General features: G+C 45.2%; 1 protein-coding gene and 1 pseudogene across 6 annotated transcripts, besides 1 other annotated feature; one reads left to right on the top strand and one right to left on the bottom strand.

The window, feature by feature from the left end:
- Window positions 3,347-6,222, top strand: ARMCX6 (armadillo repeat containing X-linked 6). 6 transcript variants are annotated; one of them, NR_033670.2, is made up of 5 exons: window positions 3,347-3,462; window positions 3,763-3,844; window positions 3,977-4,064; window positions 4,581-4,675; window positions 5,587-6,222. NR_033670.2 is itself a non-coding variant. In XM_011530976.3 (4 exons), the coding sequence occupies exons 3-4, from the start codon at window positions 4,013-4,015 to the stop codon at window positions 5,627-5,629; spliced, it is 1,092 nt and encodes a 363-aa protein (XP_011529278.1). In that variant the 5' UTR covers window positions 3,347-3,462; window positions 3,763-3,844; window positions 3,977-4,012; the 3' UTR covers window positions 5,630-6,222. The 6 variants fall into 6 exon arrangements, 4 of the variants coding, with proteins under 4 accessions (XP_011529278.1, NP_001171697.1, NP_061880.2 ...); NR_033669.2 differs by lacking the exon at window positions 3,977-4,064; XM_011530976.3 differs by having other exon boundaries at window positions 3,977-4,055; window positions 4,581-6,222.
- Window positions 7,176-7,738: an enhancer, noted in NCBI's record as "H3K4me1 hESC enhancer chrX:100868599-100869161 (GRCh37/hg19 assembly coordinates)". NCBI's record gives its function as "activates a minimal SCP1, AML or CMV promoter by ChIP-STARR-seq in primed H9 embryonic stem cells {active_cell/tissue: H9 hESC(primed)}" and the evidence as "EXISTENCE:reporter gene assay evidence [ECO:0000049][PMID:30033119]".
- Window positions 23,079-23,867, bottom strand: ARMCX7P (armadillo repeat containing X-linked 7, pseudogene; annotated as a pseudogene).

Raw genomic sequence — 24,623 nt, 5'->3', positions numbered from 1 at the left:
TATTCAGTTGTCACTCCTGTTGAAACAGCTTCCCTTGTGGTCTACTTATGGGGAGAGAATGCAGAGATCCCTAGGTTTGAGCATTCAGATCTGTTTATATATAAGTCTCTATGAATGGGAGTCTTTCCTTGAGGCATCCAGAGGCAATTCTTCTCAGCATACAAACAAAATCAGGATTTGGTCATGCAATACTGAGGAAGAGACCCTGAACTGTAGACGCAACCTTGGGGGAATCCTGTGGGAGAAGCCAGATGGCCTTGGCTCAAAGGACAACCTTGTGCATCACCATTTCATAACCATACCTTTCTAATGTTTAGTTAATGGTGGAAATTACAACTAAGATACTCTGTGGCATATTATGCCCCCAGCACTACCGTTATAGATAAACAAAAGGTTAATTTCCAAAGTGATAAAAGGGCTCCTGCAAATCAACAACAACATCTGAAACAGTTTAAATTTCTCCCTGGGAAAAGAAAGGAAGTGCATTTTACATTTTACTGACCCTATTGTTTTCCTCAGCAAAAGGGTGGGTATTGTGCTCAAAACAGAACAACCAAAAGCTGCCTTACTAAAATTTCAATCTTCATTAGAGAGATAAAAACCTGAAAACCGGTGGACTTATGACATCCTGAAAAGACGTCTATCAATTCCTTCTACCTAAACCCCTCGGAGATGAGCCTTGTCTTCAACATTTCCTCCTTAAGTTAACCAGGCTTGTTCTCTGTTGCTTGCAACCAAACAACCTTAAGTAAGACACAATACCAAAATTACACAATACAAAAAGTAATATAACTTTTCAAGATAACAACCTTCTATAATTTATTTTTTTCACCCTCCACAATTCCATTAGTGTCACCATTTGCTGGTCGTTTTTTGTTTCTGGGTGCTTTGTAAGTTACATATCACATGTGAACTGATTTAAGCCAAAAGTTTTGTTTTGGCAGTGGTTTCACAGTAGTTTTTTGCGGACTCAGAAACTTTTAACAGTAGTGTCTGAGGACTTCTTTAAGCATTTTCCTTTCTCACTTTTGAAAGGTATGTGAGCCTTATAACATGTCCTTAATTAAATATTTCTTGGTAGATGTATAATGGAGAGCAAAGTAGTTTTTTTTTTAATGCTAGTCTCCAGGTAGGAATTGATAGAATCGTGGATCAGAAGAACAAAGAGGTAAGAGAATTGAAAGGGTTTTTATAACCATGGGGTTTTAGGAAGTTTTAGACAGGGAGTGGATTCAAACCAGGAAAGGTCTGGCATACTGGGAGAATGGTAGTGAGAAGTTATACATCGGACTAACTGGAGAATATACCAAAAGGGTGGAGATATTTTATACTACTGAGGAGAGGTAGGAGTAAAGTTTTTGTCCTTGAAGCCTGGCTAAGTGTTGTGAAAGTGAGTTCTTATTGTAAAGCCATGTCTGTGACACCAAGTCATCTGTCTTTATTAAGCTTTACATACTCCTTAGTTTTTTCTAATGTATATATTCAAAACAAACAAAAGCCACTTATACAACTACCTAGCAGCCAAACACTGAATGATGGACTGTTGAATCTGAGAGTTCTGTTAGTAAGCCTTCATAAGTATAATTCACTTGTCTAGGGGAAGTTAATAAAGGGTCATGAAAAAAAAATGAGGTAAAGATTTAGAGAGATAAGATGTGATATTGGTGAGTTTGGACTATAAAAGGGGAAGACCAGAAAGTTGTGACATATTGACTTCTGAATATTCACCAGCAAGGCACTAGGACTCCCTGGCTTGCCTCCTGAAAGGGCCTCCTCCACACAGGAGCCCCTCACTGGGGAGCCCCTCCCTCTGGGGTGTCATATTTCAATGTTCTAAGAGGTTGCCTGGAGTGTCTATATTTAGAGTATGACTCCTCAGCAGGGACAGGTGGATGCATGAGGACTAACTTCTGCATACTTGGTCCCTGAGTTTTGGGATTATTCTGAGGGGCTTGTACTGGTGGCTCAATGAAGTTGTAATAGAAGGCAGGAAATGAAAAGTCCTCTTTTTTTCTGGCAACTGCTTGAGATCCTGTGCATTGCCCTTCCACTTGTGAGGGGAAAAAATGACACAGACATCAGGGGTGTTGCACTGATTCCCAGTCACCCACAGACCCTCACCACCATCTCCACTGGAAAATGCTGAACACTCACCACTGCTAGGGTAGCATAAAATACATGAATGGCAGACAACAGAGAGATCGCCAACAGTGTCATGATGGAAAGAAAATTACCTCTATCAAGTCTCATTTTCATCAATAGGATAACAGGAAATTCTCTAATTTCTGGAAGATTTATAGGTTGCACCACAAACTTCAGAATAGATTGTAAATAAAGCCCTGTGAATGAAAGGCAGGCTAATCTGTGGAGTCACTAATCTGTAAAGTTCATCTGAAGATGTAAGATTCATCTGAAGTTGGGGTCTGCATAAAATCTGTCCTTTGAAGCCAGAGTGAAAGTCACCCAGCAATCTTCTATGAAGATCTCAGTCATCTGACACCTAATACTATGAGTTCAGCCAGGAGAAAGAAAGGGACAATAGTTCACTTACTTAAAATGGTCAAAATTAGAACACTGACCTTCTCGGTATAGATTCATTTATCCATCAATTTATAAATCATGTTGAAAGCACAACTGGTTTTGTTTCTAAGGGTGTGTTTTTACATTTTAATATGTTGTTTGAAAGCTGCTATTTCCTGTGCAGTCCGAAGAAAATATGTTCAACTTGATACAAACTAACTTCATCAAATCAATGAGGCCTCCTATTAACTGGGAAATCTTGCTTATGTTATATATATATATATCTGTAAAAAAAAAAAAAGATTTGAATTATTTCTTCTCCAAGTGGGAAAAGCTTTATTGTTTTTTTCCGATTACAAAATAGTGTAGTTCAAGTCAATAAAAAAGAAAGGACAAAATATAACTTAAATGTTATCAAAATACTAATTAAAATCTCACCACTGCCTGGACTTCCGTTTCTGCCCCCTCACCCAATGTTGGTGTAGAGACTGAACACGGAAAAGTGTAGAAATTTAAGAAAGGGGCTGCAGAAGTTTCAGAGCCAAGGAAAGGATGAGACAATTCCCCAAGAAGTGTAAATGAAGGGTAGACTCAGGAAAAGATGCTGCCCCTTCCTAAAGATGCTGCCCCTTCCTGGAATTAGAGAAACATAAATTCAAACACCAGAAAGACAGGGCCACTTCTGGTTTCTGGTATTGTTACAGAGGAAAAAAGTGACAGGGCCCACTGTGGGGGTTGAGGGGGAGATACAAGGCAGGCTGGCGCCTGCCGCACTGCTTGTGGGAGTGGAAATTGGGGGCCAGAGCGCACTGGTGACGTGGCCGTCACGTGACCAAGAGCCGCCTAGAGCACAAGTCCTGCTAGTCGCCTCCGTCTGGGTACCAGCCCCCTATTACTCTGCAGGCGTGTGAAGAAAGAAGGAAACTAGCTCGGACCGTGCAGGTCGGTGCGAGGGTGGGCGCTGCTTGAGAGGAGGTATGGGTGGAAGAGGGCCAAGAACGCCACAGATCCGAGTTCAGGCCGATCACAGCTGGGTCCCTTTCTCGCCTACTTTCTAAATACTGCTACCCACCCCCACCCCACCCCGTGCTCATTTTAGTAGAGAGAAGTGGCGGGTTTCGGGTGGGGGTGAGGGGAGTGAATGGCGTTTCCAGAGACTCCGAGAAAAGAAAGGTTCTAGTGTCCCGGGTGCTGGTCCGTCCACCAAGCACTCCGTCCCCTCGGTCCCTTGTCTGTTTGCAGGTTTGTAGGTCTGTTGGCCTGTAGGTTTCGGCACAAGTTTCAGCGAGAGAAGGAGAAAACTGCCTTGGTTGGAACCTTGCAGGTCAGTGTGAAGGTGGGATTAGCCCAGGACCATGGGTGGGGGTGGCGGAGGAGGGGGGCTGGGATATGAGAGGGCCAGGTCCGAGTCGCCCTCTCCTGGCCCCTTCTTTCTCCACACCCACTCCCATTTCAGTGCAGGGAAAGGGGTGTGGCGGCCTTTGCTGGGGAAATGGCGGACGACAAGTGGGGCGGAGGAGGCCTGCGTCCGGAAAGTCAGTAGAGTATGAGAAATATTTTAAACTCAAGTGTCTAAAATTCACAAAAACAGAAATTGGGACCTGTGTCCTCAGTTCATCCACTACACTTTCATTTCTCCATTGCCGCCTACCTGTCTTTGCATTTGTCCTTCTGCCAGACTCTATCCTCTATCACCGTGGAGGGACCACTGACAACAGAAGACAAGGGAAAACGAAGGAATTTATCTGACTTTGGTAGAGGTTAATGAGAGAAACTGCCCTTAATCTTTGGGGGTGGAGGTCTGGTGTAGGAGACTACCTGAGAGGTACTCACACTGTCACCCTCCTAGCTATCATAGCAGAGACCCATCTCCTGCCCTTCCCTGTGGACCCAGGAAGAGAAATGGGGGCTCCTGAGGTCGATAGAGGAAGACAGAAAAGAAAAGAACAAAGAAATTGTATCCTGTTAATCTGCCTTTATCACCAACTCGAAATCCACCCTGTCTGTGAGGCACAAAGCCAAACATAGTCCCGAGCCCTAATACTCTGTTTCACCCACAGATTCATCACAAGAGAGCTACAAGAGCCTGGAAGAAGCTGAAGACTGCTACCCTCCATCCTTACTCACCCTGGACCTGAGAGACCTCTTCAATCAGGTGGAGCAAGGCCCTCTCCTGTCCTGCCCCAAGGCTGGCACAGACTTGAGCATGGGCCGGGCTCGGGAAGTGGGTTGGATGGCGGCAGGACTGATGATTGGGGCTGGTGCCTGCTACTGCGTTTACAAACTGACCATAGGAAGAGATGACAGTGAGAAGCTGGAGGAGGAGGGGGAAGAGGAGTGGGACGATGACCAGGAGCTGGATGAGGAGGAGCCTGATATTTGGTTTGATTTTGAAACTATGGCTCGGCCCTGGACTGAGGATGGGGATTGGACTGAACCTGGGGCCCCAGGTGGCACTGAGGACAGGCCCTCAGGGGGAGGCAAGGCCAACCGAGCACACCCAATAAAACAGCGGCCATTCCCCTATGAACATAAAAATACTTGGAGTGCTCAAAATTGTAAAAATGGCAGTTGTGTTCTGGACCTCTCCAAGTGTCTTTTCATTCAGGGAAAACTGTTGTTTGCCGAGCCCAAGGATGCGGGCTTTCCATTTAGCCAGGATATCAATAGCCATTTGGCCAGCCTCTCAATGGCTAGAAACACGAGCCCCACTCCAGACCCCACTGTTAGAGAGGCTTTGTGTGCCCCGGATAACTTAAATGCGAGTATTGAAAGTCAGGGCCAGATTAAGATGTACATCAATGAAGTGTGTCGGGAGACTGTGTCACGTTGCTGCAACTCATTTCTGCAGCAGGCCGGATTAAATTTGTTAATAAGCATGACAGTTATTAATAACATGCTTGCCAAGTCCGCTTCAGACTTGAAGTTTCCTTTGATATCAGAGGGAAGTGGATGTGCTAAGGTTCAGGTTTTGAAACCGCTGATGGGTTTGTCTGAAAAGCCAGTCTTGGCGGGGGAGTTAGTCGGTGCCCAGATGCTCTTCTCATTCATGTCCCTCTTTATCAGAAATGGAAACAGAGAGATTCTCCTGGAAACCCCTGCCCCATAAACGGCCCTCTCGAACACAATGGGACGGAATCCACCCACAACGCGCTTGGTTTGCAGATGTCAAAGAATCTGCAGAGGGTGCTACTGAAGATCCAGCCTTAGCCAATCACCACCTCATTGGGTGAAAGTTCCAGGGCTCAATCCAGGACCACACTCTTATTGGCCAGGCAGGGGCTCCCACAGAGCTTTGAGTAACTTCTTGGTTGTGCAGTCTGCAGGCAATGTTGGCATTGTAAATTCCTCCCTTGCAGCCTCCTTCATGTGGTGAGGGGATCACTTCAGCTGCCTGCTGTGGACAAAGAACATCAAATTACAGCATCACGAGTGCTATTGTTGCCTGTGGTGGTCTCCCTGTCCAAGCGGGACCGCTTTGCAGAGACCAGAGGCATATCGCGGCTTGAGCTGAAAATGCATTTGTTGCAGCTTAGGTTGAATTATTTTTCGTTTGCTCTTTCTTCTACACGCGCCTGATGGATAGTGAACCTATTCATCAAAAAAGTGCACTGCTCTTCTGTCTATTGTACCGACTTAACCTCTTCCACCCAAGTCCGCATCTGTGTGTATCATCAATAAAGTTGTGTGCTTTGATTGGCAGAAAAGAGTCATGGTCCTTGTCCTTGAGTTTACAGTCTGCACGGAGAGAAGGACAAAAAAAAAAGCACGGTAAACGCCAGCTGACTGGAACGTCTGCTCCGTGACAAATGCAGGCTTATCGGTGCTCACAGGAGGCAGGGATAGAGAGGGGCTGCAGTGCTCAGAATAAACTTCAAGAAGGGGCTGGAGGCGGGGGTGGGGGAAGGGGAGGGGCACAGCGGGGGAGTTCGTGGAATTAGGATGGAATGTTGAGAGGACTGAAAGAGACAACACCCGTGGAGCAGGCAGCACCGTGCCCCGGCACAGAGAAATCCCTTCTTAATGTCTTTTCCTTGACTGCCAGCCTGGAGAGAAAGGTCAGTAACCCTGGCCTTTTCGATTGTCGGCGCATCCCGACGTGGGGATGGGGACCGGGGTGGAACGGGTGGGGGCGCTCTACCACGCATCGGGGCGCATTTATTGCACAATGATGGCGATAAAGGTTGCCGCTTGCCCAGCACCTACCCTGTGTAGTTCTATCCCTCCTGCGAAGCCAGGGGGAAATCTGCTTCCAGCCCTCCTTCTCTCTTCCTTGGGATCCCCAGCGCTACTTCCTGGCAGAGTGAGAGGGTTGGCCGCTGCTCCCTTTGGAGCAACCTCCTTTCTTCCATATCCCCACTACCTGTGGTGGGACCCAGGAAGGGGACAGTGGAGCCCTCCATCAACTACCTGCGGGGGTGATAGGGCAGATGCTGAGGGCACTTGGCACGACCGTGGCCACTCCATCCATCCGGAGACACCTCCACACTCTCCATCTGAGGTGCCTGCACCTTGCCAGGAAAGGAAGAGCCCGTGGGCGCAGAAGCACTCCATGGGTCAGGGCAGCTCGTTCTGCCCCGCCCCCACCTCCAACATTACCAGATCCCGCCCAGCAGGTTTAGCCCCTGAATCAGCAAAGCCAGGTTCCCTGCATGTTTGTGATGTGTCAAGAAGTGGTCCCCTTCCCTAAAGCCATGGCAAACCCAGTAAACACATCTGCTTCCCCTTGGGCAAGGCTGCTGCCGTGCCCGGTGCCCTCTCGGTCTCCCAGGGCTGCTGCTGTGGGTCACTGTGTCCTGGGCAGCTGCGATCTCTGTGGTGCTGGGCATTCTGCTTGTTCTGTTCCACACAGAACAAAGCTTTCTTTTCTTGTCTTATTCTCCCTTCCCCCCGCAGCTTGCCTTCCAGGTGGGTTACAACTTTCCTGCTTGTACCATCTGCCCCACAGTCCATGCTGGCCAGACGGCCTGAGTGCCTGCCGGGTCCCCTGACCAACTCTGGGAAACCCTCCCACCTGGAATGGGGACCAGACCTCTTCCCAGGCCCTGGTGCCTGGGATGGCCAACAAGTGACTTGCAGTTGTTGTGACACCACATCCCCTGTCAAGGCTCACACTGCTGGGGCTTCCTTGGCTGGCTCTGGGAGCCCTGTCCCGGTTCCTAAGGGTTCCTAAGAGCTGTCAGAAGGACCACCCTTTCTCCCAAGCCAGCCGCAGTTTGGCTGGGCAATCTGATTTCAAAGGGGATTTCCCTGCAGACAGCTCCGCATGCACTTTTCCCAGTGGAGCCTGCTTCGCCAATGCTGTCTTTAGTGACACCTCATTGCTCAGTCTCTTTGAGCACAAAGGCATCCTCCTAGCCTGTGGTCCCGAATTAGCATGCACCTCCCTACTTCCCTGCACGCTACCAAGTTTCCCTTTACGTGCGCTTGTCCACCATCGCTGAGGCACTTGACACCGTGAGGCCGCAGCTGAGTCCTAACTCAGGGAGCGCCCCAGAGGCTTTCTGCCCATCTCCTGAGCAAACTCTGTCACAGAAAAGCCCATCAGCGTCCAAGTGTCTCCACGGCGTTGTCTTGGCCCAAGTCAAAACCCTCCTGTCCATTTGCTGGCACTGCCCTCCCGAAAGCACTCACGCACAGCCCTTCTGTCCTGCCCCTCATCCCCTGACTGGTTGCAGTGCCTGGGTACGAGCCCAGTTCCCGTGGATTCTGCCTCCCTGGGATGCGCGGGGGGAGTCGGGAGCATGCCTGCCTCCCAGGGCCTGATCAAGACACTGAGAGGTTCTCAGCACTGGCAAGAGCGCCGGTGCCCCCATTCCATATGTAACGCAAACATAAAAACAGCCCTGAGCCATCAATCACAATGCATACCTGCCTGCTGCAACCAAAAGACAGCCTTTCTGGGCTTCCCCGTGGCAAACATTGGAAAAGGTCATCAATCCTGAGCTTGCCACATTCTGTGAGAAGTGCTCTGCCTTGATGGTGCCGCCCCAGCCTGAGCCCGTCTCTTGTGTCAATCTGGAACTGCCGCCACAGGCTGTCTTCCACCTCCAGAAAGGGCCCTCAGTTTTGCTTCTCATCTATCTTATGAGCACGTTTCCATTTGGTGCCTGTAGGCACTGACTGACTTCCAGACCAACTTCAGGTGCCCTCCCCAGCCTGCTGCCTCTCCTAGGGATTTTGTGGTTTGCCACCCCCACCCCGCCCCCCTCCAGGTGAGTGCACACAAGGTTGCAGACAACCAGCTTCCCGGCAGGCACGTCCTGTCTCAGACACGGGACCCTCACCGGGGTGCTATGTGTCACTCTCAAAGCAGTATCCACCACGATCCCCTTACTTTTAAGTGCCACCCTGGACCAGCATAGCCCTCACCCAGTCCGTCCCTCTGACGATGCACCACTGGGCTAAGAGTTGGGCAGCTGTGGCAAGGGGTTGCTCTTGCCTCTCTTCTGAGGGACACTGGCTGCTCTATGATGCAGATGGGCACTGCACCAGAGTCCAGCAGAGTGCTGCAGAGGGCCGGCCCTTGCCCCGTCTGTTACAGACGCCAGATGTGTCTTCTCACTGGCTGCCACTTCCCTACTCTCTCTGCTCATGGCCTCCTTTCCATCCTGGAGGTCCATTTTCCCTTATTGCCTCTTGTTTTGGTGTGAGGTTTAGGACAGCCTTTCCCACTTTCCCATGAACACAGTCTCCTTGGCAGTTTTCTCGTTCTTTCACACCTTTCTATTCAGAGTTTTGTCTCATCGATCTGCCTGGAATTTACTTTTGTGCAAGGTGAGAGACAGTGATGTGACTTCACTTCTTTTCCCGCATGATTAGCCGATGAGCCCAGCACCACTGGTTGAGCACTCCGTTCTAGTGCTGTCTGTGGCACTTTCTGGGATCCTCATGCGCCCAGCTGCACACCCGCTCTGTGGTTTCCAGGCATTAAAGTTTCTCCTGAGGCACATCCCTTTCCCTCAGGAACCTCTTACTGACTTGGAGTCCCTCAGCTCACTAAGTGGCCTAAGGCAGGTGGGGTGTGTGTGTGTGTGTGTGTGTGTGTGTGTGTGTGTGTGTTGGTGGAGAGAGCTGTGTTGGTGCTTGTGAGCAAGCCTCTGCTCCAGGTACGTTCTCAGGACGTATTGCGGCCCACAGGAAGCTTAGGAACTCTCATCCCGCCGACCTTTGCATCATGGCAAACTGGGCACTGGTCTCTCTCCTCTCCCAAATTACTATATCTGTACAGAAAAGTTGCAGAACAGTGTACTGTGTGTATAATTGTAAATATTATATATCCTATAACACTATATACTGTTTTATGTGATTATACATTTCCTAAACATAGTGTCGAGTATCTCTGGAATGATGCACAATGAATAGGTCGCTTTGGTTTTTTTGTTTGGCTCGTAGCATGTATTATATATTAGATTTGCAAGTGAAAAGATCAATAACTCACTTAATTGTCTTTTTCTGTCCTTTGTGCCTCTTGAATTTTGTACTTATGTATCCATGTCCTATTGGAAAATAAATTTACTAAAAGGCAATTATTGCAGGTTTCTGTAAAAGCTGTTGATGTAGCATTGTCATTCTATAGTCAGACTCTTTCGGTGAAATCTCATTAATTTTATTATATTGTCTCTTTTTTTCTTTCTGACTTCTTAAGTAGATAAACGTACTGTACAAATTATGACAGTTTTAGCTCTTCCTATTCAATAGTTTTTAGTTCATTTCTTTTACTTATCTCATTGCACTGTCAGGGACCTCCAGAAAAACAGTATTGATGATACGGCACATATTGGTCTCATTTCTGATTTTAATGGTTGATGTTTCAGTGTAAGGCTGGTGTTTACTGGAGGTTTCTGAATAAATAATATGTGGCATGTTTATGTAATAGAATTTACAGGCATTAAAAATGAGTGAACAGCCGGGCGTGGTGGCTCACGCCTGTAATCCCGGCACTTTGGGAGGCCGAGGTGGGTGGATCACCTGAGGTCGGGAGATTGAGACCAGCCAAATCAACATGGAGAAACCCCCATCTCTACTAAAAATACAGAATTAGCCGGGTGTGGTGGCACATTCCTGTAGTCTCAGCTACTCCGGAGGCTGAGGCAGAAGAATCGCTTGAACCCAGGAAGCGGAGGTTGCAGTGAGCCAAGATCCCGCCATTGGACTGCAACCTGGGCAACAAGAGCAAAACTCCATCTCAAAAAAATAAATAAATAAAAAGAAAGAGTGAACTAGATCTCTATGTATCAAGCTAGGCAGTTTTCAGAAACCTAATGTTGAATGAAATAATCAATTTGCAGAAAGACATAGTATAATGCCATTTATATAATTTTAAACATATGAAACTATATGTTATATTGATACATATATTTATAGCAAAATTTAAAATGGACACTGAAAGACGCACATCAATTTTGCAATATCAGTTGCCTCTGGGAACGGCTGGAGGAGAATGTGACTCCAACAATATATGCAATTTAATTTTATCTATTAAGAAAAAGATTATAAACAAACATAAAGAAAGCATTAGCATTGCTAATTATGGATGATGTATACATAGATCCTCATTGTTTTTTCTCTGTATATCTTTTTTTAAATTAAAACTAAAGATGTATTGTGTACCCAATACAATTAATTTAAAAAATTCCTTCACCTAGACATATTCTCAAGAAATTTTAGGATAATAAGGACTGAAAGGAGACCCTAAAACTTCCCAGGATAAGGGGAATGCCACCTACAAATCAAACTGGCATCAGACTTCCTAGTCATAATACTTGATGATAAATGTCGATGTATAAATGCCTTGAAATCCTTAGAGAATATGCTTTTCTCTAGTATTCTATTCCTAAACATACTATCAGGCAAATATATAGTGACAATAAAGATGTCTTCAGGACTGAAATTACTCATAAAATTTACCTCCTGTAGAATTTTCCTTAGAAAATTGATCTCCTGTAGAATTTTCCTTAGAAAATTGTTTGAACATGTACTCCCACAAAATGAGGTAGTAATCAATTGAAAAGTAAATATGGAATCCAGGAAATAGTGATCCCAACTTGGAAAAGTAATAAAGGTTACTTTTAAGGTGATGGTCAAATAATAGGTCCTGATTAACTAGACCAAAGTGGAGCAATATGATAGAAGATTTAGGGTAGTAGATGAACTCATGAATAAAAGGAGACTTGGTAAAATGAATTGAGAGGTTAGAAAAACTAGAGGGTGCAATAAAAGCAAATAAGGGAAGAAAAACAATTAGAAGATCATCTAAGAAAATATTACAGTAATGACCCTCAATAAACCATGCCTCCCTGTATCCATGCCATTGTATAGTCCCCTCCCGCATTGACTCTGGGCCTGGCCACGTGATTTGCTTTGGCCAGTTTAAATGTTAGGAAACATGACAAAAGAGGAGGCCTGGACAGAGCATTTTCAGTGAGACTTGCACTCTTTCTGCTCTGAAACCACCATGTGTGGAGCTGCCCAGGCTAACCTGTGGAGGGTGAGACCACATAGAACAGAGATGAACTGTTTCAACTGAGGAATCCTAGAAAGAATTGTCAGATAAAATATAGGAATCCCAGTTAAATGTGAATTTCAGCTGAATATCAAATAAATTTTAGTGTATGTGTTTTCCAAATATTATATGAGACATACTTATACTTTAAAAATATTAATTGTTCATCTTGAATTCAAATTAATCTGGGCATACTGTATTTTAATTTGCTGGATATAGCAATCCTAGCTACAGGAAAACCAGTCCTCAGCTAATCTGCCAGCTGACTTTAGCCACATGAAAAACCTCAGGCAAGACTAGCAGAAGAACTAACCAGATAAGCCCAATACGAACTACCAATCCACAAAATAACCAGCAAATAAGATGGCTATTTAAAGTCACTGAGTTTTGGAGTGTTTTTTTTTAATTTAACAATAGACAACAGATGAACAAAACAAAACAAAAATATGTACTTGCTCCAAAAGTGCAGCAAATTAAGATACAGAATGAATTCAGCATTTTGATGGAATATAAGGAAAAAGAATCTATTAAGTCTTGAATGTAAGAACAGTCCCCCTTACGTGACTCAAGAGCCTTGAGCTGGAATATTTCTAAACAACTATAGTGGGCTTGATTAAATCATAACCTAATCCCAGATGTCTCTTGAATCTGACCTGGGCACATAAGATGGGGCAGGATTGAACTAGCTCCCAACTTACTAAGAGTGATTCAGGTAAATATTCCCAGGGTAAGATGAATTCATAACGTGATATAGTTTATTTCTACCTTGCACCTAGCTGTACTACACCAGAAGGTATTACATAAGTAGACGACGGTTACGTGGCTCCCAGAGAAGTCTGAAGTGACCAAATGGATATGAAGGCAACCCTTCTACATCCCAAGAAAGGCTTAGGTTGAACTTGTGAAAGCATCTGAGATATGTGAACACTAATCATGTGATATTATCCTCAAAAGGGTACCTCCATGCGATCATAAAATCAAAGGGAGCTTGCCTCTTTAATGGAGAGAATGCAGTTGAACTTCCTGCTTTATATAACCATCTGCATGCAGCTAAGTTCCAGTTTACTTTTATATTCTGTTCTGTAACAGCCAGGTCTTTCTCCCATTAAAGCTTTCTGCTTTCAACTCTAGACATTGAAAACCATGAAGTGTGTTTAGTTTATTATGACTACATAAATGCTGCCCATTGCTGAGCCAAGTAGTGTCCTAGCGCTTGAACCCATCTTGCATAGTTTTAGAAAATGATTCACATATCACCTGTGGGGATGAGATTTTAAGTAGACATGTGATTCAGTGTAGCTGACAGAATGTGGGATATAGAAGATGATAAAAGGCAGAAGAAAGAATAGTGGAATGGATATCCTCATTTTACAAAGTGCAAAGTAAAGAAATACTAGTGGAAGTTTATGAAATAAAATAAAGTTATGTGTATATTAGTTAAAGTTAAGTTTAGCTACTTTATGTGTTTTATTTTTATTGCCTGCTTCTTTCACAGGAAAACATGCTTAATAAAGGCTACCTCTGCCCTGCTCACTACCAAATTTCAATGGCACACAATGGTGCTCAAGAAATATCTGTGGACTGCATGATTAAATTAAAATAATAATAATGCTATAAAAATGGGAATAAGAGAGGGGGAGAAAGTATGATAATATAAATGAGCTAAAGTGTCTTATTTTCATATCAAAAATTCATTAGGAATACAAGTGTATTTTAGAAGTCTTGACGATAACCACAAGAACAGGATTTCCCAGGCACTATTAACATTTTAAGCCAGGGACTGTCCTGTGCATTGTAGGATCCTTGGTCTCTACTTACAAGATGCCAGTAGCACTCTTTCCCCCAGTTGTGACAACCAAAATGTCTTTGAACAGTGACAAATGTCCCCTACGGAGCAATATCACTCCTAGTTGAGAACCACTGCATCATAAGGAGTTAAAAATCAGAAAAGTTGAGAAAAGTTTGGCATTCTAGAAAGTGATACTGAGTCTAGGCAAGTTCAAAAGGGAAAACCGTTTTTATTATAAATTCTGTACTATAGAGTTTTTGTCAAGTGTATGTATTGTTTTGATACATATTAATATTTATTAAAAAACATTACTGAGGTAGAATCAATGGGGCTTTGTGACAAGCTGGCAATATAGAGTGAAAAAGACGGAAGAGTCAATAATGATTAGGGTTCTGGCATGTGCAACTGGGTGGATGATGGTTGTTTTCACGGAGACAGGGAATACAGGCGGGGAAATAGTTTTGTTGTAGGAGCAGGGAATAATGGCTCCAATTTCAAATATGTTGAGCATGAAATATCTGTGAGATATGTAAGCTGTAGGCATCAAATAAATTAATCTTGAACTTCAGATATATAGATGTGTGAGTCATTAATATATAGATGATAATTGAAACGATGGCAGTGGATGAGATTCCTGGAAAAAGAAGAGACTTGAGAACAGGACCCCAAGGAACAGCAGTATACTGAGTGTGTAATATTTTAGTCTGTTTTATGCATCTTAATTTTTAAATTAATTAGGACTATACTGTAAATATGGTTTAAGATTTTTTAAAAACAAATTGTATCTTTGCAAAAATAACGCACATTTATTGAAGCCATTTCAAAAACATGTAGATAAGCACAAACTACTCTCCAGAACCAGAACTGCAGCTTCAGGCCTCGATGATCAAATAGAGTAGGCATTGAGCACTAATTATGTGCCAGGCAGATGGAGATTCGATAGTAAACAAAACAGACACCATTCTTGTGTTAATACAGCTTATTATCTAGTAGAAAATATAGTCAAAGAAAATAGGAATTTACAATGGAGTGTGATGAATGGTATAAAAATTAATAATGGAAATCCACTTCACCTACAGATGCAGTGGGATGTGATTAAAGCATCTTCAATGTCCTCCATTTTCCTCTTATTTCGCATGAGCTTAGTTGCAAGAACAGGAAGAAACTGTTTTGAGTTCCTTTGCTCCCTGTACCGTGTAGTAAGAACGTTCAAGAAGGATGACAGAGAACATGAAGTTGTTTGCCATTGTGGGTCTTACTAGAGGCTCTGTCCAAACCAAGCTTCTCAATATTCTGGGTTCTGACTCCTTCACAGAGAGTGTCTCCTCAGATTTGTAAATTGGTTTTATACTTTATAATCTGTTCAGTTAATTTTCCAGAAACTCCCTAGCTGCACTCTTGAGTCACTCACTCAGTAACACCAAATCCCAAAAAGAGAGAGACTGTATATTTCTCAAAAATAAGAAGCATGCACAAGTTGACAGCACCTCAATGGACCCTATGGGTTATAAGAAGCAGAAAGAGATTGAGATGAAGAAATCACAGAGACAGGTCATGTTTGCACGAAGCAATCTGTTCCCTTGGTAACATTGTAGTTGACCCTGCCCCTGACTAGCAGGAGAGAGCCCCAGCTGTCTTGCAAAGCCCCAGCTACCTCTTTATAATGACTTGGGCCACAAGGAAAATTGTTTACATTAGGGGAAACAATGCTGGCCCTAATCTTAGAAGAACTATCTGCAAATAACTGATTTGAGAAAACCTGATATTTCTTAAATATGGTGAATTAAAATGAAACTGGCATACAAGGTAAACACAAATAATACATGAAAAAGAGAGAAAAGGGACATGAAAACTAAATGGCAGATGATGAAAAGTCATCTGAAAAATGTTACCATAAAGTAGATGAAATTTTTCACCAAATATTTCATATGAATTTGAAAGTTTTAATAAAGCAAGTAAGCAAGAGCTCAAGAAAGGAGTGGCAAAATAAGAATGAGAAGAAATGTGATCTGTGAGGCTTCTGTGAAGAATGTGAAAAAAGAAATTTAACAATCACAGAGATGAAAGCAAAAATGGCAGAAGCACAAGGAAGAGAGAAACCATGGCAAAAGCATAGTAATTAGTGTCAAATCTGTGTACATTTAGGACTAAGACCAAAACAAATGTGGTGATTATGTTTACAGAATGAATGTAATGGTGATACACTCAGATGGAGAAGCAATTATACAATGAACAACAATTGGAAGAGGAAAGAAAAACAAGGTGGGAGGTAATGTAAATATGTTGATTTTCTTATCCTTAATGACTGAGGTCAAAAATACCATCTAAACCAGACAAATATGGTGATACAGATATAAGTATATTGAATAGTATAAAGATAAACACTAAGAAATATAATCTAATCAACTAAAAGTGCATGAAAAGAGGAAAGGGAGTAGGGCAGAGGACTAAATGTGTATAAAGTTAATCCTTAAAGCATTATTCATAATAACAAGAAAAATGAAAAAAAAAACCACACACACAAAATATTCACAAACAGGGGACTAAGGAATTATGACACATTCATGCAATAAAATACTATTCATCTATAAAGTGAAAAGCAAATTTTTAATCTAGTGATAACCAAGGATTTACAAGGTTATTAACATATTGCTGTGTGTGTGTGTATGTGTGTTTATTTGTGTGTTTATGTGTGCCTGTGTAATATCTCTAGAATAATGCATTAGAAACTGCTTCTGGTGGGAGAGAAGCAAGTAGTTGGTAAGAGAGGGGGTTAAAAGATTTTACGTGTATACCCTTTGTTATCTTTTGAATTTTGAACCACTAGGATGTGTTACCAGTTTTTAAAAACAAATTAAGTTTAAAAATAAGATAAAATGCAGTCAGGCGCGGTGGCTTATGCCTGCAATCCTAGCTCTTTGCAAGGCCAAGGTGGGCAGATCACCTGAGGTCAGGAGTTTGAGACCAGCCTGGCCAACATGGCGAAAACCCATCTCTACTAAAAATAGAAAAATTAGCTGGGTGTGGTGGCACGCGCCTGTAATCCCAGCTACTCAGGAGGCTGAGGTAGGAGAATTGCTTGAACCCGGGAGGCGGAGGTTGCAGTGAGCCGCGATTGCGCCATTGCACTCCAGCCTGGGAGACAGAGTGAGGCTCCGTCTTAATAATAATAATAATAATGATAATATAAAATGTAAAGATTTGGCTGATTGATCTTTGCCCAGCTTTGTAGATATCATGTGAGATCCCTAATATATGTTTTGTAGAGTTTCCTCATTCCACATACATCTGTCTTTGTTCTATCCTCCTGAAAACTGAGGCAAAGGGTACAGGGCAATGTTCTCATTGTCAATGTTCCCCCTGTGTGCCTCCCCATTTTCATTATTCACCATCAAGACTAAGTAATTAGGATATTTCTCTGTTTGTATATTTCTCAAAAATAAGAATCATGTACAAGTTGACAGCAACTCAATGGACCCTATGGCTTATAAGAAGCAGAAAGGTACTGCCAGTACCTTGCTCAAGAAACTTTGAGTTCTCAAAGCTAATTTTAAAAATTCATAGCCATCAATTTCAAGTTTTCCTGAATTCCAAAAGCTGCCATTACATATTGGTAACCAGGCCTGGGAGATTCTGACCAAAGATCTTTAATATAAGCCAAAGGTAGTGAGAACTCAGGACCTAAAGGAAATGTTTATCAGAAAGAAACTTAGTGGAAAGGAGAGAGGAAAGATGAGGAAAAAACAGCCAATCTCATGTGTCCTGGTTCAAATCAATTCCCAAATTGAAACCGTAGAGAGTGGTGGGTATCAGGTATGACCAGATAAGTTACTGGGAAATTTAAGAGTATTGGGGTTAGTTTCTTCACTTCCATAGGCACAAGCTGAAAAAATGCTGAGTCTAACATGGGACAGCTCAAGTGTAAGGCTAGAAAAGGCTGTGAGAGAAGGCTGGTGATAACATCTCCCAACACTTCCCTTACCTCCATGCCCCATCCCAAGGTGAGGGGAGGTTGCCAACTTCATCTACTACCCAACTCAAAGGACTGGATAATTAAAAATACAGAACACTGGATATAGATCTACGTATTGACAATTGGTCTTTGTGAGATGCAAATATTTATTCAGAGGAGGGTTGTGTAACACGGTTATCTGGAGTGCTTAATCGTGGTAATAGCTTGAGCCATCAAATTGCCTTTCCTTCCTTCAAAATTATCCCATATCCAGATATTTGAGAACAAAGAACAATAGAATACTGATGGCTAGACTTAATAAAGACCTTGCCAGGGTCGAAAGAAACATGATTGAATAAACCAGAAGAACTAGTTTGGACTACTCCACTGCCAGGGGAGTCGGGGAGAAAGACAACATAAAAATAAAATGAAGGCAGGGAAAGGGTCTTTAGAAAGATTTCTGGGAAAAGAACATTTGTAGAACACTAGGTCCAAATGCTTTGTTTTTTCCTCCTTCCCTCCTCTTTGAGAGTAGCAATGGTGAGGCACTTCATTGTCCAATTTTTTCATTGCTATTCTCAAAGCAGTAGAAGCCAAAGATATGGCCTGTGTGCTGGCATGTAGGATGAGGACAGCAGAGTCAAAAAAGCACTCTTATAGGACAAGGTAAATATCATGTCCACACAGAAAAACAGATAAATCCTTAGGAATAACCCCAAAAAGAAATGTGAATGATCTTTATAAAGAAAATATCACAAGTGACGAAAAGGTCTAAATAGTTGTACCTGGATAAAATTCTAAGACGCCAATCCTTGCCAATTTGATCCATAAAGTTAATATGATTTCAATCAAAACATAAACGGTGTGTTCTACAATAAATGACATTAGTATAATTAATAATATATTTAGAGAAAATTAAGATAGAAAATCTACCTCAAACTGTATGGACAGACAGACAGACAGACACACACACACACACACACACACACACACACACACTACTAGTAGGTTAACAATGAAGCTAACTGTAAAAAAGATACTGTGTTTGTATTCCTTCTAAGGAAATAGGCAAAAGTTTTTCTTATAACTTTGAGAAGGAAAGGCTGTCATGGAAAAAAAAGAAAGGAAGGAAGGAAGGGAAGAGGAAGCAAGAAAACAGTACATATAGAAGTCCTAAAAGGAAAATATTGACAGAAGCAGAAAACCCAATTTCCTGAGCGATGAAATGAATCACGCATACACAAAAATATCAAGAGATGGGGTGAGTGAAAACATTTGCAATGGTTGCAACATGTTACAAGAATCTTATTTCAAGTGTAGCTAATGACTACCATATGGGACAGTACAGCAACTCTATACTTAGAAAAGGAAATTGCTTTTGTCTTGCACAGATATAGTAATTTGGGAGAGGAGAGAGACCAGTGCCCAGTTTGCCATGATGCAAAGGTCGGCGGGATGAGAGTTCCTAAGCTTCCTGTGGGCCGCAATACGTCCTGAGAACGTACCTGGAGCAGAGGCTTGCTCACAAGCACCAACACAGCTCTCTCCACCAACACACACACACACACACACACACACACACACACACACACACACCCCACCTGCCTTAGGCCACTTAGTGAGCTGAGGGACTCCAAGTCAGTAAGAGGTTCCTGAGGGAAAGGGATGTGCCTCAGGAGAAACTTTAATGCCTGGAAACCACAGAGCGGGTGTGCAGCTGGGCGCATGAGGATCCCAGAAAGTGCCACAGACAGCACTAGAACGGAGTGCTCAACCAGTGGTGCTGGGCTCATCGGCTAATCATGCGGGAAAAGAAGTGAAGTCACATCACTGTCTCTCACCTTGCACAAAAGTAAATTCCAGGCAGATCGATGAGACAAAACTCTGAATAGAAAGGTGTGAAAGAACGAGAAAACTGCCAAGGAGACTGTGTTCATGGGAAAGTGGGAAAGGCTGTCCTAAACCTCACACCAAAACAAGAGGCAATAAGGGAAAATGGACCTCCAGGATGGAAAGGAGGCCATGAGCAGAGAGAGTAGGGAAGTGGCAGCCAGTGAGAAGACACATCTGGCGTCTGTAACAGACGGGGCAAGGGCCGGCCCTCTGCAGCACTCTGCTGGACTCTGGTGCAGTGCCCATCTGCATCATAGAGCAGCCAGTGTCCCTCAGAAGAGAGGCAAGAGCAACCCCTTGCCACAGCTGCCCAACTCTTAGCCCAGTGGTGCATCGTCAGAGGGACGGACTGGGTGAGGGCTATGCTGGTCCAGGGTGGCACTTAAAAGTAAGGGGATCGTGGTGGATACTGCTTTGAGAGTGACACATAGCACCCCGGTGAGGGTCCCGTGTCTGAGACAGGACGTGCCTGCCGGGAAGCTGGTTGTCTGCAACCTTGTGTGCACTCACCTGGAGGGGGGCGGGGTGGGGGTGGCAAACCACAAAATCCCTAGGAGAGGCAGCAGGCTGGGGAGGGCACCTGAAGTTGGTCTGGAAGTCAGTCAGTGCCTACAGGCACCAAATGGAAACGTGCTCATAAGATAGATGAGAAGCAAAACTGAGGGCCCTTTCTGGAGGTGGAAGACAGCCTGTGGCGGCAGTTCCAGATTGACACAAGAGACGGGCTCAGGCTGGGGCGGCACCATCAAGGCAGAGCACTTCTCACAGAATGTGGCAAGCTCAGGATTGATGACCTTTTCCAATGTTTGCCACGGGGAAGCCCAGAAAGGCTGTCTTTTGGTTGCAGCAGGCAGGTATGCATTGTGATTGATGGCTCAGGGCTGTTTTTATGTTTGCGTTACATATGGAATGGGGGCACCGGCGCTCTTGCCAGTGCTGAGAACCTCTCAGTGTCTTGATCAGGCCCTGGGAGGCAGGCATGCTCCCGACTCCCCCCGCGCATCCCAGGGAGGCAGAATCCACGGGAACTGGGCTCGTACCCAGGCACTGCAACCAGTCAGGGGATGAGGGGCAGGACAGAAGGGCTGTGCGTGAGTGCTTTCGGGAGGGCAGTGCCAGCAAATGGACAGGAGGGTTTTGACTTGGGCCAAGACAACGCCGTGGAGACACTTGGACGCTGATGGGCTTTTCTGTGACAGAGTTTGCTCAGGAGATGGGCAGAAAGCCTCTGGGGCGCTCCCTGAGTTAGGACTCAGCTGCGGCCTCACGGTGTCAAGTGCCTCAGCGATGGTGGACAAGCGCACGTAAAGGGAAACTTGGTAGCGTGCAGGGAAGTAGGGAGGTGCATGCTAATTCGGGACCACAGGCTAGGAGGATGCCTTTGTGCTCAAAGAGACTGAGCAATGAGGTGTCACTAAAGACAGCATTGGCGAAGCAGGCTCCACTGGGAAAAGTGCATGCGGAGCTGTCTGCAGGGAAATCCCCTTTGAAATCAGATTGCCCAGCCAAACTGCGGCTGGCTTGGGAGAAAGGGTGGTCCTTCTGACAGCTCTTAGGAACCCTTAGGAACCGGGACAGGGCTCCCAGAGCCAGCCAAGGAAGCCCCAGCAGTGTGAGCCTTGACAGGGGATGTGGTGTCACAACAACTGCAAGTCACTTGTTGGCCATCCCAGGCACCAGGGCCTGGGAAGAGGTCTGGTCCCCATTCCAGGTGGGAGGGTTTCCCAGAGTTGGTCAGGGGACCCGGCAGGCACTCAGGCCGTCTGGCCAGCATGGACTGTGGGGCAGATGGTACAAGCAGGAAAGTTGTAACCCACCTGGAAGGCAAGCTGCGGGGGGAAGGGAGAATAAGACAAGAAAAGAAAGCTTTGTTCTGTGTGGAACAGAACAAGCAGAATGCCCAGCACCACAGAGATCGCGGCTGCCCAGGACACAGTGACCCACAGCAGCAGCCCTGGGAGACCGAGAGGGCACCGGGCACGGCAGCAGCCTTGCCCAAGGGGAAGCAGATGTGTTTACTGGGTTTGCCATGGCTTTAGGGAAGGGGACCACTTCTTGACACATCACAAACATGCAGGGAACCTGGCTTTGCTGATTCAGGGGCTAAACCTGCTGGGCGGGATCTGGTAATGTTGGAGGTGGGGGCGGGGCAGAACGAGCTGCCCTGACCCATGGAGTGCTTCTGCGCCCACGGGCTCTTCCTTTCCTGGCAAGGTGCAGGCACCTCAGATGGAGAGTGTGGAGGTGTCTCCGGATGGATGGAGTGGCCACGGTCGTGCCAAGTGCCCTCAGCATCTGCCCTATCACCCCCGCAGGTAGTTGATGGAGGGCTCCACTGTCCCCTTCCTGGGTCCCACCACAGGTAGTGGGGATATGGAAGAAAGGAGGTTGCTCCAAAGGGAGCAGCGGCCAACCCTCTCACTCTGCCAGGAAGTAGCGCTGGGGATCCCAAGGAAGAGAGAAGGAGGGCTGGAAGCAGATTTCCCCCTGGCTTCGCAGGAGGGATAGAACTACACAGGGTAGGTGCTGGGCAAGCGGCAACCTTTATCGCCATCATTGTGCAATAAATGCGCCCCGATGCGTGGTAGAGCGCCCCCACCCGTTCCACCCCGGTCCCCATCCCCACGTCGGGATGCGCCGACAATCGAAAAGGCCAGGGTTACTGACCTTTCTCTCCAGGCTGGCAGTCAAGGAAAAGACATTAAGAAGGGATTTCTCTGTGCCGGGGCACGGTGCTGCCTGCTCCACGGGTGTTGTCTCTTTCAGTCCTCTCAACATTCCATCCTAATTCCACGAACTCCCCCGCTGTGCCCCTCCCCTTCCCCCACCCCCGCCTCCAGCCCCTTCTTGAAGTTTATTCTGAGCACTGCAGCCCCTCTCTATCCCTGCCTCCTGTGAGCACCGATAAGCCTGCATTTGTCACGGAGCAGACGTTCCAGTCAGCTGGCGTTTACCGTGCTTTTTTTTTTGTCCTTCTCTCCGTGCAGACTGTAAACTCAAGGACAAGGACCATGACTCTTTTCTGCCAATCAAAGCACACAACTTTATTGATGATACACACAGATGCGGACTTGGGTGGAAGAGGTTAAGTCGGTACAATAGACAGAAGAGCAGTGCACTTTTTTGATGAATAGGTTCACTATCCATCAGGCGCGTGTAGAAGAAAGAGCAAACGAAAAATAATTCAACCTAAGCTGCAACAAATGCATTTTCAGCTCAAGCCGCGATATGCCTCTGGTCTCTGCAAAGCGGTCCCGCTTGGACAGGGAGACCACCACAGGCAACAATAGCACTCGTGATGCTGTAATTTGATGTTCTTTGTCCACAGCAGGCAGCTGAAGTGATCCCCTCACCACATGAAGGAGGCTGCAAGGGAGGAATTTACAATGCCAACATTGCCTGCAGACTGCACAACCAAGAAGTTACTCAAAGCTCTGTGGGAGCCCCTGCCTGGCCAATAAGAGTGTGGTCCTGGATTGAGCCCTGGAACTTTCACCCAATGAGGTGGTGATTGGCTAAGGCTGGATCTTCAGTAGCACCCTCTGCAGATTCTTTGACATCTGCAAACCAAGCGCGTTGTGGGTGGATTCCGTCCCATTGTGTTCGAGAGGGCCGTTTATGGGGCAGGGGTTTCCAGGAGAATCTCTCTGTTTCCATTTCTGATAAAGAGGGACATGAATGAGAAGAGCATCTGGGCACCGACTAACTCCCCCGCCAAGACTGGCTTTTCAGACAAACCCATCAGCGGTTTCAAAACCTGAACCTTAGCACATCCACTTCCCTCTGATATCAAAGGAAACTTCAAGTCTGAAGCGGACTTGGCAAGCATGTTATTAATAACTGTCATGCTTATTAACAAATTTAATCCGGCCTGCTGCAGAAATGAGTTGCAGCAACGTGACACAGTCTCCCGACACACTTCATTGATGTACATCTTAATCTGGCCCTGACTTTCAATACTCGCATTTAAGTTATCCGGGGCACACAAAGCCTCTCTAACAGTGGGGTCTGGAGTGGGGCTCGTGTTTCTAGCCATTGAGAGGCTGGCCAAATGGCTATTGATATCCTGGCTAAATGGAAAGCCCGCATCCTTGGGCTCGGCAAACAACAGTTTTCCCTGAATGAAAAGACACTTGGAGAGGTCTAGAACACAACTGCCATTTTTAAAGTTTTGAGCATACCCAGAAATTTTTTTATTTTCATTGGGGGAATAGGTCATTCATTTTTATTTCGATGGTTTGCTTTTGGAGAGGCTGAGAGTTCTTACTGCCCATGATTATTGTCAGACTGATCCCCAGGGCTTGGCTTATCCTCAGTTCTTGACTGAAGATCATGGACCTTGCCTGTCTTCCCCACTGTCTGCAGCTCCCACGCTCTTTTTGTTTTTCTTGCTTGGTTGTGCCTTCTTCTGATAAGTGGATGAACACTGTGTCAACTTGTAGACCAGACTTCCATATCTTCTTTCACAAATTCGTCAGTCTGAGTATATCCCACATCTAATGCAAGTCACAGATGGGCATCACTCTTTAAAAGGTGCTCTAGTTGTGGCATTCTAGGAAGGAGATTGTTAGACATTCTTTTCCTGGACACAATCAATCTAATTGCCATCCAACATGGACCTAGCAGCAATGCAAACACATAAAGCTTTCAGATGAGTCTCCCCAAAGAGACATGTCAATGCACAGGATACAAGGGTATCAGTATCTCTATTTCCGGATTGAAGGTCTTAATTTTCAAATGTTCCTCCTCTGGGGTTTAACCTCCCTCAAGCTCATTTCCACTATTTTCCCACAGGTGCAGCATTTATCTTTTTCCAGCACCAATATAAGAGGAGAAAAAAACAAAGGCTGTGAGAGGGAGAAGCTGAATTGCCTCTGGACTCTGTAGTCTGCCTCGGACGCCTCGTTTCCACCCCTTATCTCCAGCATATCACACTCTGTGGAGCAATTTCTTTCCTCCCTTAC

This window comes from Homo sapiens, chromosome X (assembly GCF_000001405.40).
Source record: "Homo sapiens chromosome X, GRCh38.p14 Primary Assembly".
Taxonomy (NCBI): Eukaryota; Metazoa; Chordata; class Mammalia; order Primates; family Hominidae; genus Homo; species Homo sapiens.
Note: the sequence above shows the minus strand (reverse complement) of the source record. Positions and strands in the feature narration are given on the sequence as shown.